Here is a 14858-nt window from a genome sequence, read left to right on the forward strand (position 1 = left end):
AGACCCCGCCCCCAACCAGACTCCGCCCCGCGCAAGCTCCCTAAGCCCGCGACTGGCCTGCACCCGGCTCCGGAAGTCGTTCTTCCGCGCAGGAGCCCTGAGCCCGCACAGCCCCGCCCCTCCCGGCGCCCAAGCCCCGCCCCGCCGGGTTCCCGCTCGCCCGGCGCCATGGATCCGCTGTCGCCGCCGCTCTGCACGCTGCCGCCGGGCCCCGAGCCGCCCCGCTTCGTGTGCTACTGCGAAGGGGAGGAAAGCGGGGAGGGGGACCGCGGCGGCTTCAACCTCTAGTGAGTGGGGGTCCGCGGGGAGGTAGGGGTGCAGGGAGCTCCGCGGGCGGCCCCGCCTGACAGGCCTTCTCCCCCAGCGTGACCGACGCCGCGGAGCTTTGGAGCACCTGCTTCACGCCGGACAGCCTGGCGGCCCTCGTGGGTAACTGGGCGGGTCTGGGAGCCGCCACACCCCTCCTTGCAGTGCAGATCGTCTATGGGGCGACAGACATCTGGGATTCCCCAGAAGGCTCTGACACCCTCTGCCCGCCCTGTAGCTGTAGTCCTCCCATTGGCTAGGGCTCTGGGGTCGGGCAGGTTTCGGGTGCCCCCAGTGGGCCTCGGGTTCCAGGCAGCTCGTGACAAGCCCCTGTGCTCTCTAGAAAGCCCGTTTTGGCCTGAGTGCGGCTGAGGACATCACCCCCCGGTTCAGGTGAGACCCAAGCAGGGAGGAAGGACGGGTGGGGAGGAGGAGGGTCTGCCACAGCTCTCCGCACCTCTCCTCTCCCAGGGCAGCCTGTGAGCAGCAAGCTGTGGCTCTGACTCTGCAGGAGGACAGAGCATCCCTGACGCTTTCAGGGGGGCCCTCGGCACTGGCCTTTGACCTCTCCAAGGTACCAGGCCCAGAGGCAGCCCCCAGGCTGCGGGCGCTGACACTGGGCCTGGCAAAACGCGTGTGGAGCCTGGAGCGGCGACTGGCAGGTAGGATTGGGGGTGGGCACCTCATACCTTCACTGGGGTCCCCTGCTCTTGCCCCCACTCCTGGCACTGAGTGGGGTTCCCATGGGCTTTCCTCCCCAGCTGCAGAAGAGACAGCTGTCAGCCCGAGGAAGAGCCCCCGGCCTGCAGGGCCTCAGCTCTTCTTACCAGGTAAGGCATGTCCGCCTGTGACTCAAGTAGGGCTGTGCTCTTTAACCTGGAACTCAGTTTCCCCCCAAACAAGACTCACGCTCCAGAGAGAATGCCTATCTATTCGGAGAAGGTTGTGGTTGGGATGCTGCCAGGTTCAGGAGCTGCCCCTGTCCTGTTTTCCCCCAGACCCAGATCCCCAGAGAGGTGGCCCTGGACCTGGAGTCAGGAGGCGGTGTCCAGGAGAGTCGCTCATCAACCCCGGGTTCAAGAGGTACCCTCCCACAGCCCCCTTCCTGCGCCCAGGGTCCAATCCTGGACCCCACCCCTTTCTCCACACCATAGTGCCATAGTGACACCCCTCTTCCCTCCCAGTAAGAAACCAGCTGGTGGCGTGGACTTCGATGAGACCTGAAGGTGCAGCACAAGCGTGGCCCCGCGGGGAGTCCGCCTATGAGGGGAGAGGCAGTCTTTGAGGCCCCCATCAGAGACCCCCCGCCACCACCTCCACCTGCCTGTCCTGGGCCAGGACTAACACGGCTCCTCAAATTCCTTCCCTGTCAAATAAACAGCTCCCTTGGTTGGAGGCTCTGGTGGGGCTCTGACTCCTGGCACTGGCCTGGGAAGGGATCAGGGAACACCCCTGGGCCTGTGTTCTGGGTGTAGGGCCACAGGATGTGAACAGATGCTGCAGCCTCTCAGCTCCCTGGAGACTTCCTTGCTGGGCCGGAGGGAGGTGAGCACTCTCAGACCGTCCAGCTATTCCAGCCCTGCCAGCCCAGGAGCTGAGAGGGGCCCAGCCAGGCAGGGCCAGGGCTCCCCAAGGCTTAGAACTTTGTTCCCACCCTCCCAGGCCGCACCCAGGTAGGGCACGGAGCCCCGTGGGAGGATGCAGACAGAAGTCCCGTGTAGACCCTGAGACACTGGAAGTGCCCTGCGGGGAGGGGAGCGCCTGCCCCGGGACAGGATTGAGGAATGTGCCAGCCCCCATCCACCTGGGGCACCCCGCCCCACCCCGGCCTGACTGGTTTGGGAGCCCAGTCCGGTCCTGGAGATCCCTGAGGCCACCGGTTGCAGGAGGCCTGGAGTCTGCGCCTTCTTAGCGTGGAGGATGGGACCGGCCCGACCCCCGGCGCTCCTGCCCCTGTGGTTCTGGGCTATCGGGCTGAGCGTCCCACCCTGGGGTTTGGGGATGGGAAGTGATCCCGAGACCTCTGGCCCTTCAGATGTCAGGACACCCTCACTCCCGACAAAGATGCCTTTATTGGGCGACAGACGCGGGGTGGGGCGCTAGCGGGGGTGCACGGCGGGCCGGTAGGCCGCCAGGATCTCGGCGCTGTGCGGACACGTGTATTTGAACTCTTTCTCCTGCATCGCGCTGTCCAGGTAGCGGCGTACGCCGCGCAGCTCCGCGGGGATGGGCGCCTGGCGGAAGTGCGCGCACACCGTCTGCGGGCAGGATCGCGGGGCGCGGTCAGGACCTGCCGTCCCCCAGGCGCGCCGCGGTCACCCTCCCGCCCGCCCACCTTCCGTGCTCACGTCGACGATGTGCAGCTTGGGCAGGAGGCTGCAGTCGGCCAGCGTGAGCCTGTCGCCGTCCAGGAAGCGGCGGCGGGACTCGCGCAGCTGCGGCTCCCCCGCCAGCTCGTGCTCCAGGGGCGCGCGCAGGTAGCTGTCCAGCCTGGCGAGGGCGCGCAGCAGCTGCTGGTACAGGGCTAGGGGGCAGGCGGCGCGGTGAGGACCAGGCCCAGGGCGCCCTCCCGCCTGGGCACCCGACCCCCTGACCCCGCTTCACCTTCGTCCTGCGCGGGCACCGGGTTCTTGATGAACGCGGAGAACTTGTGGAAAACGTCGTTGCCGGCGGTGTTGGACTCCCTGTAACGAGGCGCCAGGCTGGGGAAGCTGCGGGATGAGGGGGTGGGACTCCATTAGACTGGGGGCAGCCCCGTCCCGGCCCCACAGTACCCCCACAGCGCCTTCCTGGGCTCTGTCTTGCGCGCGTCCTCCCTGGGCCCCCCTCTTTTCCCCTCCCACCCTGCCGGGGCTCTCACTCGGGCGGCCCCAGCGTCTCCTCCAGAAAGTCCTCGATCTGCAGCGTGTCTGTCTTGGCGTCGCTGTCATAGAGCAGGATGGGCAGCTGCGAGCCGGGGGCGAAGTCCTTCAGCACGTCCGGGGACCTGCGGGCAGCAGCGGGGTGGGAGGAGGCCGGCCCACCAGTGTGCGAGGCCAGGCGGGGGTCCACAGGATGGGGCCTCACCTGCGCGTGTCCACCGTGGTGAGGGTGAAAGGTACGCCCTTGAGGAGCAGGACCATGAAGAGCCGCTGGCAGGAGGGGCAGTGACCCACGCTCTCCCCGTCCTCACTCGCCTGGGTGGGTGGAGCGGGGGTGGGGGGTCAGGGCTGGAAGCAGACCCAGGCATCCTGCCGCCAGGCTGGGCGGGACCCGCCTCCCACTGCCAGTGGGATTGGAGGGACGCCAGGGCTCCAGCTTGGTCGGCGCGACTTCCAAGTGCCCAGTGAGGGCCCTTGACTTGGTCCCCAGAACGTGGGGAGGGGGGCAGAGCTGCTGGGAGCCTTGAGGCCTGGGGCAGGCTTGGCCCCTGGAATCTTGTCAGAGCCTGGACAGAGGCCAGGCCCCTGGGCTCAGTCCCCAAAAGCTGGTTGCAGGGGTGGGGTGGGCCTCACAAGCTGTTTTCTGAGTGATTCACACATGAGACTGGGCACTGTGGCCAACAGCACATCAGTCCCCCACCCCAGTCCCCGACCTGAGAGCTGATGGGGCTGCCTGGCCCAGCACCCCCCATCCTGGAACACCGACCGTAAGCTCCACTGTTGGCAGCCTGCTTGGTACCTCCCCACCAAGGAGCTCTCCTCCAGAAGACTGGGCTGGGCCCAGGAGCCAAGGCTGGGAGCAGGACCAGGGCCACTGACCCCTCTCTGGGTGACTCGCTGGGTCCCACTTTACTCAGCCTCTGTAGGGCTGCCTGAGTCCCCCTAGCCACCCACAGGAAGGGGCTCAGACATTACTGGGAGGCCCACCCCACAGCCTGCCACAGAAAGCAAAGCCCAGAAAAGCGCTTCCTCCCAGACACCCTCCCCGCAGCTGAGTCCGCCCTGCACCTTGACAAACAGCTGGAGCTTGGTCTCCGCCATGGTGGGAGCTGCCGCGGTCAGGCGCGGGTGGGGACCTGGGGAGCTCTTTAAGTCTCCCTGTGCGCCCCGCCCTCCCTGGCCGAGGGGCCCGCCCCGTGGAGCCACCTAGGCGGGCAGATGAAGCTGCCCAGCGCGCAGAACCAGCTGCCTGAGCAACGCCAGCCCGGCCCCGGGGTGTCTGAGCCTGAGGGTGTGACCTCAGGGTGGCGGAATGGTGTGGGGGGCTGCCCTGGACTTGAGTCTGGTGTGCACGGAGATCCGCCCACCCGGTACTGAGTGTGCTGGGAGCCAGCGTGGTGGGTGGAGACCAGGGGGCAGGGCATAGGGAGAGCCTACAGGCCAGAAGGGTGCAGGGGGTGTCACCTGGGAAGGGGGCGGCTCTGGGTCAGGACCACCTCCACCGTGAACCCAGCTCAGACCCTGCCCTATGGCTCTCCCTTCCGCAAATACCCCTTGTCAGGGCTCCCAGCCCAGAAAGCCAGTGGGTGTGGGTGAGCAGGAGAAATGGCCTGCCCAGCCTGGCTTCAGTTCCCCATCTGCAGCACCAGGGCATCGGGAGGGTGATAAGCCCACCTGGGGGAGCCGCCCCTTCCCAGCTACGGAGCAGTCAGGCAGGGCCCTCCCCGCTCAGGGCAGGGCTCAAATTCCAGACCTGCCCGCAACAGGGCGGGGAGGCCAGCCTGGCTTTGGTGTTTGGCCGGCAGTGCAGGTCTCCACCCCACCTCCCATCCCTCCCACTGGCGCTCAGCGCAGGTTTCTTACCCCCAACCCCTTAACCTTTAAAAAGAAGCAGCAGGAGAGGGGTTAGAAGCCACAGCCTGCGTGGCTGGAAGAAAGAGGCCAGGGGAGGGTGGTGGTCCACAGGTGTGAGCCTGCGCTGAGCCTCCTGGCGTGATTGGAACCCACAGTTCAGTCTGGCCCTTTGGGGTCGCCAACTGTGCCTTCCTCCCACCTGGCCCTGACGCTTTAGGGTGCAGCCCCAGGGAGGTACACCGAGGGGAGATTCCACCCAGAGACCTGGGGTGCCCACAGGATTGGCCTGGCCACACCTCCCCCAGGCGGTGTGGTGCCTCACCAGCCTGGACAGGGCAGCTGAGGTGGCACTGCTCTCCTGCTCACCTTCTCCCCAGGGCCTTGGTACGGGCCCCTCATCCGTCCCCGGTGGAACACACTCCAGTGCTGCCCCAGTCAGCCCAGCCTGATGCTTCTCTGGATACCACGCCAGTCGGGGCTCCTGGACACAGAGCCTTGGAAATACCATGTGGCTGCCCCATCCTTTGGTGTCCTGAACCTCAATTTCCCTCCATCCGGCCTCCACCTCGATTCCAAGCCCTAGTATTTCAGCTCTTTCTGGACACTGTGGTTATAGCTCCGCTTGCTGGTTTCCCACATCCCTGGCAGGCAAATGGCCAACCACAGAGAAGCCCCAGGCCCCCAGCCCCCTCTGCTGCCCCGGCATCCTGTGTCTTTAACACCGACAGACGCACCCTCACAAACCCACAGGAAAAATGACGGCACGGACAGAGGCCGTGAACCGGTGGCTCAGAAGGAAAAAGAAAACAAGACACAGGAAGACCATTCACCTCACGCCCGTCTCAAGAAACAAACCAACAAGACTCGGTTCACCGCTGCAGCGGCCCCACTGCGTTCTGTGGGCGTGGGCTGTGGACTGTGGAGCGGCAGTGGCCATCCAACACCCCCCTGTGCCCTCGCCACCTGGGAATCAGCCCGGTGGCTTCCTTTTTTTTTTATGGTTTAATCAATTCATTTATTTACTAGAAACAGGGTCCTGCCATGTTGCCCAGGCTGGTCTCCACCTCATGGGCTCAAGTGACCCACCTGCCTTGGTCTCCCACAGTGCTGGAACTACAGGCGCGAGCTGCCACACCCGGCCGGTTTCCCTGTGAAGGGCAAGTGAGTGCTGGCTGCCCCACTGCGTGGCGTGGCGTGGCGTGGCGTGGCTCCGTGGCACGGCCACCACCCTGTCTATGGGAGACTCCAGTTGTGTCCAGGGAGAAGGACGGAAAAGGTGACTCCATGCATGCCCACTGCAGGGAGGGCCTGAGATTAGGTAAATGGCGTGGCTTGTGTCCCCTTAAATTTAAATTCTTAGGCTGGAGTCCTAACCCCTAGTGCCTCAGAATGTGACCTTATATGGGCCGGGCACGGTGACTCATGCCTGTAATCCCAGCAGTCTGGGAGGCCGAGGGGGGTGGATCACCTGAGGTCAGGAGTTTGAGACCAGCCTGACCAACATGGTGAAACCCCGTCTCTACTAAAAATACAAAAATTAGCCAGGCATAGTGGCAGGCACCTGTAATCCCAGCTACTCGGGAAGCTGAGGCAGGAGAAGTGCTTGAACCCGGGAGACAGAGTTGCAGTGAGCAGAGATAGTGCCACTGCATTCCAGCCTGGGCAACAGAGCAAGACTCCATCTTGGAAAAAAAATAAAGAATGTGACCTTATGTGGAAACAGGGGCTTTTTAACATTTTTTTTGAGACAGAGTCTTGCTCTGTTGCCCAGGCTGGAATGCAGTGGTGCAATCTCGGCTCACTGCAACTTCTGCCTCCTGGGTTCAAGCAATTCTACTTTCTCAGCCTCTGGAGTAGCTGGGATTACAGGTACACGTCACCACGCTGAGCTTTTTTTTTTTTTCCTTGTATTTGTAGTAGAGACAGGGTTTCACCATGTTGATCAGGCTGGTCTCGAACTCCTGACCTCAGAAGATCTACCCACCTTGGCCTCCCAAAATGCTGGGAATACAGGTGTGAGCCACCGCACCCGGCTGAAATAGGGTCTTTATAGAAGTTATCAAGTTAAAATGTGGTGAGTAGGATGTGCCCTGATCCAATATGACTGATGTCAGTATAGAAAGGCGAGTTTGGACACAGATGCACAGGGAGGGCCGCAGGCAGAAATCAGGGTGGCACATCTGTAAGCCTGGGAGCCAAGCGGATGCTCTCCAAGGCCCTTGGGAGGAAGCAGCCCTGCCCAAGCCTAGGTGCTATGTCTGACCTCCAGACTGCTAGGCAGTGAGCTTCTGTTTTTTTTGTTTTTTTTTTTTAATGAGATGCAGTCTTGCTCTGTCGCCCAGGCTGGAGTGCAGTGGCACAATCTCGGCTCACTGCAAGTTCTGCCTCCCCAGGTTCACGCCATTCTCCTGTCTCAGCCTCCCAAGTAGCTGGGACTACAGGCGCCCGCTACCACACCTGGCTAATTTTTGTATTTTTAGTAGAGACGGGGTTTCACTGCGTTAGCCAGGATGGTCTCGATCTCCTGACCTCGTGATCCGCTCGCCTCGGCCTCCCAAAGTGCTGGGATTACAGGCGTGAGCTCCCGCGCCCCGCGGTGTTGTTGTTTTAAGATGGAGTCTCACTGTCACCCAGGCTGGAGTGCAATGGCTCAATCTCGGCTCATTGCAACCCGCGCCTCACCGGCTGAAGCGATTCTCCTGCCCCAGCCTCCCGAGTAGCTGGGATTACAGGCGCCCACCACCACGCCTGGCTAATTTTTGTATTTTTAGTAGAGACGGGGTTTCACCATGTTGGTCAGGCTGGTCTCAAACTCCTGACCTCAAGTGATCCGCCCACCTCGGCCTCCCAAAGTCAGTTTCTGTTGTTTTAAACCCCTCACTTTGTGGTCCTTTGCATGGCAGCGCCAGCAAGCTAATAAGTAAAGCAGGGAGAAGCCAGGAAATGGAAGAAAATCAGCATTAGGATCTGTCATTCTGAGTCTCTACTTGAACAGAGCTGAAAAAAGACGCAAGGAGCTGTCTGTGGGATGACCCCTGACAGGCAGAAACAGGCTTTCAGTTTTGCTTCCTGTCTGTCCACACTGTTTGCATTTTCTACCACATTTTTGTAATACCACATTTTCTACCACAATTTCATAATGTTTTGAAGTAAGAACAGTATCACAGCCACTAACCTTAACTAGACCCTGGTCCCCGAGGCCACGGGGTTATCCCTAAACCTCCCGTCCCCTGCAGCCCCTGCTCCTGATTCATAGAGCCAGCGTTAGAGGGGCCCAAGCTGAGGTCCCGAGGCTGCTGCTCTGGGACTGACTGACTGGTGGGTTAGAACTCTCTCCCTCCCCAACACCCCTCCCTGTAGGCCCCTTCCAAGGGGCTCTTTTTTTTTTTTTTTTTTTTTTTTTTTGAGACAGGGTTTCACTCTGTCACCCAGGCTGGAGTGCAATGGCGCAGTCATAGCTCACTGCAGCCTCCACCTCCTGGGCTCCAGTGATCCTCCTGCCTCCGCCTGCACAGGGCCACACCCCAGTGACATTTGAGCAGCTCTGTTCTGAAGGGAGACACACACCTGTTTGGGGGGCCGGAGGGCTGGGGGCATTGGGGTATTGGTGCAAACTTGTGCAGAGATTTATCTGCTCTGTGCATGGAGAGAGCCTAGAAGCAGTGAGACCTCGGGAGCGGTGAGACCTCGGGGGCGGCGAGACATCGGGGGCGGCGTGACCTCGGGGGCGGCGAGACCTCGGGGGCGGCGGGACCTCGGGGGCGGCGGGACCTCGGGGGCAGCGAGACCTCGGGAGCAGTGTGCAGACCAGAGCTCAGATTCTGGTCCCAAAGCCCATCTTCCCTAAAAGGAACCAGGGTTCTGCTAGGGACTGAATGTGTCCTCCCCAAAATTTGTGTGTTGAAACCCTGGCCCCTAGGCCAGGCACATGGCTCACGCCTGTAATCCCAGCACTTTGGGAGGCCGAGGTGAGTGGATCACCTGAGGTTGGGAGTTCCAGACCAGCCAGACCAAAATGGGGAAACCCTGTCTCTACTAAAAATGCAAAATTAGCCGGGCGTGGTGGCACATGCCTGTAATCCCAGCTACTCGGGAGGCTAAGGCAGGAGAATCGCTTGAACCTGGGAGGCAAAGTTTCCGGTGAGCCGAGATCACTCCATTGCACTCCAGCCTGGGTGACAAAGCGAGACTCTGTCTCAAAAAAAAAAAAAAAAACAAAACAAAACCCTGTCTCCTGCAAGGTGATGGTGTTAAGAAGTGGGGTTGGCTGGGCGCGGTGGCTCAAGCCTGTAATCCCAGCACCTTGGGAGGCCGAGGCAGGCGGATCACAAGGTCAGGAGATCGAGACCATCCTGGCTAACATGGTGAAACCCCATCTCTACTAAAAATACAAAAAATTAGCCGGGCGTGGTGTCAGGCGCCTGTAGTCCCAGCTACTCAGGAGGCTGAGGCAGGAGAATGGCATGAACCCAGGAGGCGGAGCTTGCAGTGAGCCAAGATTGCGCCACTGCACTCCAGCCTGGTGACAGATCGAGACTCAAAAAAAAAAAAAAAAAAAAGAAGCGGGGTCTTTTGGAGGTGGGTAGGTCATGAAGGTGACACCCTCGAGATGACCAGAATCAGCGCCCTCATAAAAGGGACCCCGGAGAGCTCCCTCGCTCCTCCTGCCAGGTGAGGAGTCAAGGGAAGTCCACAACCCAGAAGAGCCCTCGCCAGAACCCAGCCATGCTGGCGTCCCGACCTCGGACTTCGAGCCTCCAGAGCTGTGAGGCATGAATGCCACCCGTCCAGGGTCCTTTGCACAGCAGTCCTGGTCGGACTGAGACAGGCTCCTTGGAGAGAGGCTGATTCCAGGTGTGGGGCAGGGAAGGCAGGGACGCACTCAAAACACATCAGGAGCTGGTTACGAAGACACAGAAGCCGTGCTGGAGGGGCGCCTGCTGGAGGGGCACCGCTGGCTGGACCTCAGGCCATCTGAGCATAAGACAACAGTGGATTGTGCGTTATGAATGGTTAACGTGATAAATGTTACATAGATTTTACCACCATCAAAAAATTTTAAAAGAGCCAGATGCAGTGGCTCACCCCTGTAATCCCAACACTCTGGGAGGCTGAAGTGGGAGAATCCCTTGAGCTCAGGAGTTGAAGACCAGCCTGGGCAATATAGCAAGACCCTATCTATACAAAAATAAAAATAAAAATTAGTCGTGTGTGGTGGCACATGCCTGTAAGGAGGCTGAGGCAGGAGGATCACTTGAGCCCAGGAGTTGGAGGCTGCAGTGAGCTATGATTGCACCACCACACTCCAGCCTGGGTGACAGAGCAAGACCCTGTCTCAAAATAAGTAATTAAAAGATGACAGTAATGCATGTTAACACATTAATTTTTTTAAACCTGCAAGTCTGTACTGATAGACTTTTTAAAGTGGAGGGGCCCTTGGTGAGAGAGAAATGCCAGCCAGTAGATGCAGAAATGGAATAGAGGCAGGAAATGGCCATTTTGCAGCTGCTGGCCCTGGGTGACGGGGGTCGGGGGGCGCGGCCACGCAGCACCCAGATTGCGTTCCCACATCTAAGGGAGGGAGAACTGGGCCTCAACCAGGCGGCCACATTCAGCATCACCTGCTGAGGGACAGATGGACACCTGGAGGTGACCGACACAGCGTGTCCCAGTGCTGCTCCGGCCAAAAATGTCCAACCTGCATCCAGCCAGGAGGAAATGAAGACACATCCAGAGCTCAGCCTGGGCCTGCGGAGCCTGTCCCCCTGGAAGGGCAAGAACGCCAAGGCTGGGGACGGCTCAGAGGGGCCCCGGGGAAGGCAGCAAGACACAAGGAGTGCCTCGTGGTTGGATCCTGGATTTTTATTTCCTTTTTTTGTTTGTTTGTTTGAGACAGAGTCTCACTCTGTCGCTGAGGCTGGAATGCAGTGGCACAACCTCAGCTCACCGCAACCTCCACCTCCCAGGTTCAAGCGATTCTCCTGCCTCAGCCTCCCGAGTAGCTGGGATTACAGGCATGTGCCACCACACCCGGCTAATTTTGTATTTTCAGTAGAGACAGGGTTTCTCCATATTGGTCAGCCTGGTCTTGAACTCCCAACCTCAAGTGATCCACCCGCCTCGGCCTCTCAAAGTGCTGGGATTACAGGTGTGAGCAACCATGCCCAGCCTTTTCTTTCTTTCTTTTTTTTTTTTTTTTGAGACGGAGTCTCACTCTGTCACCCAGGCTGGAGCGCTGCTCACTGCAACCTCCGCCTCCCAGATTCTAGTGATTCTCCTGCCTCAGTCTCCCATGTAGCTGGGATTACAGGCGCTACAATGCCCAGCTAATTTTGTATATTTAGTAGAGATGGGGTTTCGCCATGTTGGCCAAGCTGAACTCCTGATTTCAGGTGACCTGCCTACCTCAGCCTCTCAAAGTGCTGGGATGACAGGCTTGAGCCACAGCACCTGGCTGATCCTGGTTTTTTGGAAAAACTCTAAAGAGCATGCCTAGGGCCGGGTGCAGTGGCTCACATCTGTCATCCCAGCACTTTGGGAGGCCGAGGCTGGGAGATCACCTGAGGTTGGGAGTTCGAGACCAGCCTGGCCAACATGGTGAAACCCCCATCTCTACTAAAAATACAAAAATTGGTCAGGCACGGTGGCTCACGCCTGCAATCTCAACACTTTGAGAGGCCGAGGCTAGGCGATCACCTGAGGTCAGGAGTTCAAGACCAGCCTGGCCAACATGGTGAAACCCCATCTCTACTAAAAATACAAAAATTGGCTGGGCATGGTGGCACACATCTGTAATCCCAACACTTTGAGAGGCCAAGGCTGGGTGATCACCTGAGGTCAGGAGTTCGAGACTGTGGGCGGCAAGCTACCCAGGCACCAAGGCAAGAGACCGAGGACATGAGCTGTTCCAGTATAATAAAATATAAAACAAGAATAGTTATACCAGATATAGAACTTAGATATGATTATATATGAATATCATTAATCATTAGTTTGTAGCAATTACTTTTTATTCCAATATTATAATAATCCTCGCTCTATAATCATAGCCTAGGAAAAACCAGGCCATACAGAGATAGGAGCTGAGGGGACATAGTGAGGTGTGACCGGAAGACAAGAGTGCGAGCCTTCTGTTATGCCCGGACAGGGCCACCAGAGGGCTCCTTGGTCTAGCGGTGACGCCAGCGTCTGGGAAGACGCCCGTTGCCAGGCGGACCGTGGTCCAGCGGTAGCAAAAGGTGTCAAGGAACAACACCCGCTACTTAGCAGACCAGGAAAGGGAGTCTCCCTGTCCCCGGGGGAGTTTAGAGAAGACTCTGCTCCACCTCTTGTGGAGGGCCTGACATCAGTCAGACCTGCCCGCAGTTATCCGGAGGCCTAACCGTCTCCTGTGATGCTGTGCTTCAGTGGTCACGCTCCTAGTCCGCCTTCATGTTCCATCCTGTACACCTGGCTCTGCCTTCTAGATAGCAGTAGTCAATTAGTGAAAATACTAATAGTCCCTGATATGCAGAAATAATGGCATAAGCTGTCTTTCTCTCTGTCTCTTCTCTCTCTCTCTGCCTTGGCTGCCAGGCAGGGAAGGGCCCCCGTCCAGTGGACACGTGACCCACGTGACCTTACCTATCATTGGAGATGGCTCACACTCCTTATCCTGCCCCTTCTGCCTTGTATCCAATAAATAACAGTGCAGCCAGACATTCGGGGCCACTACTGGTCTCCACGCATTGGTGTTAGTGGTCCCCCGGGCCCAGCTGTCTTTTATCTCTTTGTCTTGTGTCTTTATTTCTACACTGTCTCGTCACCGCACATGGGGAGAGACCCACCGACCCTGTGGGGCTGGTCCCTACACGAGACCAACCTGGCCAACATGGTGAAACCCCATCTCTACTAAAAATACAAAAATTGGCCAGGCGCGGTGGTTCACACCTGTCATCCCAGCACTTTGGAAGGCTGAGGCTGGGGCAATCACCTGAGGTCAGGAGTTAGAGACCAGCCTGGCCAACATGGTGAAACCTCATCTCTACTAAAAACACACACACACACACAAAAATCAGCCGGGCATGGTGATGCGCGCCTGTAGTCCTAGCTACGCAGGAGGCTGAGGCAGGAGAATGGTGTGAACCCGGGAGGCGGAGCTTGCAGTGAGCCGAGATTGTGCCCCACTCCAGCCTGGGCAAGAGAGTGAGACTCCGTCTCCTCAAACAAATAATAATAAAAAATAAAAAAGGGCATGCCTGGGCCACCGGGGCCCTGAAAAGCCTTGCTGTACCCTTTGTTAACTCTGGGCTACCCTGGCGGCTCTTGGGGGAAGGAGGCTGCAGGGCCGGGGCTGGCAGGTCACAGCTGCTTGCTTTCACATGGGGCAGCACAAAAGTGGGTAGAGCGACGGTGCGTGTGGCAAGATTTCACAGGCGCATCGGCTGAAGATGCGGCGTGCGCTCTGCTATTCTCGCAACTTTCCTGAAAGTTTAAAATGTTCTTTTTGCTGTTGTTTTGAGACAGAGTCTCACTCTGTCATCCAGGCTGGAGTGCAATGGCACGATCTTGGCTCACTGCAGCCTCTACCTGCCAGGTTCAAGTGATTCTTCTGCCTCAGCCTCCCGAGCAGCTGGGAATACAGGCGCCCACCACCACACCCAGCTAATTTTTGTAGTTTTAGTAGAGATGGGGTTTCACCATGTTGGCCAGGCTGGTCTCGAACTCCTGACCTCAGATGATCCACCTGCCTCGGCCTCCCGAAGTGCTGGGATTACAGGCGTGAGCCACCGTGCTCGGCGGAAAATGTTCTGAGGAAGATGCTGGGGGGTGTGTTTGCTTTCAATGCTGCATTACACATCATGAAAATGAAACCTCTAGGGACGATGCCCCCGTGAACTGTGTCAGTCTGTGGGCGGCTGTCCAGGTCCAGCCTGGCCTGGTCCTGCGCGCAGGGTCTCCCTGGGCCTCGGCTGGGCCGTGTTCCTTTCTCGACCTCTTTCTGCCATGATTCAGCCCCTACAGTTGCAGGACGGAGGCTGCTGCGGCCTCCTGCCTTCTGGCGGCTCCCCCACGCATTTCCCTTGGCCGACCACCAAACCCACACCAGCCCCTCCAGTGAGCCACTGTTCCTCTCGGTTCTTCCAGAGTGAACCGCCCCCAGGGCCCAGGACAGCTTCACCCCAGTGACCCAGCCTCTCAGGGACTCCAGCATGGTCATCCCACTGCCTCTCAGGTGGTCACAGTGAGTGCCTCATAGGAACCCAAGTGGATGTGTTGGCCCAGCCCACCCAGTGCCCTCAAGCCCATGGGCCCCTCCCCTGTTGTCCCCCATGTGGCACCAGCCCTCAGTGAGTCCACCCTCTACCCTCCTGAGGAGCCTTGAAACGGCCTAAGGCAAGAGTCTGAACTTGGCCCAGATCACGGGGCGTGAGCTCTGGGGGCCATTCATGCCCCTCCCCCATCTCCTGCCCACAGTGTGCCAGGCTCCACCGCTGATGAGCCTCAAAGCTTCCAGGTCCTGCCTCCCTGGGGCCTTGGCCTGTGCCCTGCCCTCTGGCTGGGATGCCCTTCCCTTAAGGAATCTTCACAGACTTCGGTCTCCTCCTGGAGGTCGCCTCTTCCTGGAAGCCCTCGCTGTCCCTTCCATGACACGGAGACAGCCTAGCCCAGGCTGCTGCAGGCCCCACGTGGGCAGCAAGGGGTGAAGGAGGCTTAGAGAGGGCAGGTGGACGGGAAGATGAAGGCTAAGGGGAAGGGGGCCGGGAGCAACCCCTGAGGGTGGGATGAGGGGGACAGTGAACCATGGTGAACCACCCTGCCTCAGTTTCCCTCCTCCAGACCGACCCAGCCACCCCC

At 59.2% G+C, this 14858-nt stretch overlaps 2 protein-coding genes across 8 annotated transcripts, besides 3 other annotated features; one reads left to right on the plus strand and one right to left on the minus strand.

The window, feature by feature from the left end:
* Positions 3-382: a silencer, noted in NCBI's record as "silent region_20565". NCBI's record gives its function as "represses an Ori minimal core promoter by ATAC-STARR-seq in GM12878 lymphoblastoid cells {active_cell/tissue: GM12878}" and the evidence as "EXISTENCE:reporter gene assay evidence [ECO:0000049][PMID:35858748]".
* PAXX (PAXX non-homologous end joining factor) lies at positions 147-1701 on the plus strand. 7 transcript variants are annotated; one of them, NR_138077.2, is made up of 7 exons: positions 147-287; positions 365-429; positions 650-699; positions 778-968; positions 1068-1136; positions 1305-1389; positions 1491-1701. NR_138077.2 is itself a non-coding variant. In NM_183241.3 (7 exons), the coding sequence occupies exons 1-7, from the start codon at positions 169-171 to the stop codon at positions 1528-1530; spliced, it is 615 nt and encodes a 204-aa protein (NP_899064.1). In that variant the 5' UTR covers positions 147-168; the 3' UTR covers positions 1531-1701. The 7 variants fall into 7 exon arrangements, 2 of the variants coding, with proteins under 2 accessions (NP_899064.1, NP_001316607.1); NR_138074.2 differs by having other exon boundaries at positions 365-425; positions 846-968; NM_183241.3 differs by having other exon boundaries at positions 365-425.
* Positions 340-882: an enhancer, noted in NCBI's record as "H3K4me1 hESC enhancer chr9:139887067-139887609 (GRCh37/hg19 assembly coordinates)". NCBI's record gives its function as "activates a minimal SCP1, AML or CMV promoter by ChIP-STARR-seq in primed H9 embryonic stem cells {active_cell/tissue: H9 hESC(primed)}" and the evidence as "EXISTENCE:reporter gene assay evidence [ECO:0000049][PMID:30033119]".
* Positions 1702-2332: 631 nt separating the features above from the next.
* Positions 2333-4293, minus strand: CLIC3 (chloride intracellular channel 3). The gene is made up of 6 exons (NM_004669.3): positions 4236-4293; positions 3373-3482; positions 3167-3292; positions 2911-3017; positions 2655-2830; positions 2333-2564 (listed from the first exon to the last, which is right to left on the minus strand). Exons 1-6 carry the CDS (start codon positions 4266-4268, stop codon positions 2406-2408), a joined length of 711 nt encoding a protein of 236 aa, NP_004660.2. The 5' UTR covers positions 4269-4293; the 3' UTR covers positions 2333-2405.
* Positions 7891-8010: an enhancer, noted in NCBI's record as "active region_29337". NCBI's record gives its function as "activates an Ori minimal core promoter by ATAC-STARR-seq in GM12878 lymphoblastoid cells {active_cell/tissue: GM12878}" and the evidence as "EXISTENCE:reporter gene assay evidence [ECO:0000049][PMID:35858748]".

Source organism: Homo sapiens, chromosome 9, assembly GCF_000001405.40.
Source record: "Homo sapiens chromosome 9, GRCh38.p14 Primary Assembly".
Taxonomy (NCBI): Eukaryota; Metazoa; Chordata; class Mammalia; order Primates; family Hominidae; genus Homo; species Homo sapiens.

Bases quoted from the DNA above. Each gene is read 5' to 3' on its own strand.
- PAXX (NM_001329678.2), top strand. From the start codon at position 169: ATGGATCCGCTGTCGCCGCCGCTCTGCACGCTGCCGCCGGGCCCCGAG. The intron at 969-1,067 runs GTAGGATTGGGG...TTTCCTCCCCAG, and splicing joins CCTGGAGCGGCGACTGGCAG to CTGCAGAAGAGACAGCTGTC. The intron at 1,137-1,304 runs GTAAGGCATGTC...GTTTTCCCCCAG, and splicing joins GCCTCAGCTCTTCTTACCAG to ACCCAGATCCCCAGAGAGGT.
- CLIC3 (NM_004669.3), bottom strand. From the start codon at position 4,268: ATGGCGGAGACCAAGCTCCAGCTGTTTGTCAAG. The intron at 3,293-3,372 runs GTGAGGCCCCAT...TGCTGCCCGCAG, and splicing joins ACCACGGTGGACACGCGCAG to GTCCCCGGACGTGCTGAAGG. The intron at 2,831-2,910 runs GTGAAGCGGGGT...CCTGCCCCCTAG, and splicing joins GGTGCCCGCGCAGGACGAAG to CCCTGTACCAGCAGCTGCTG.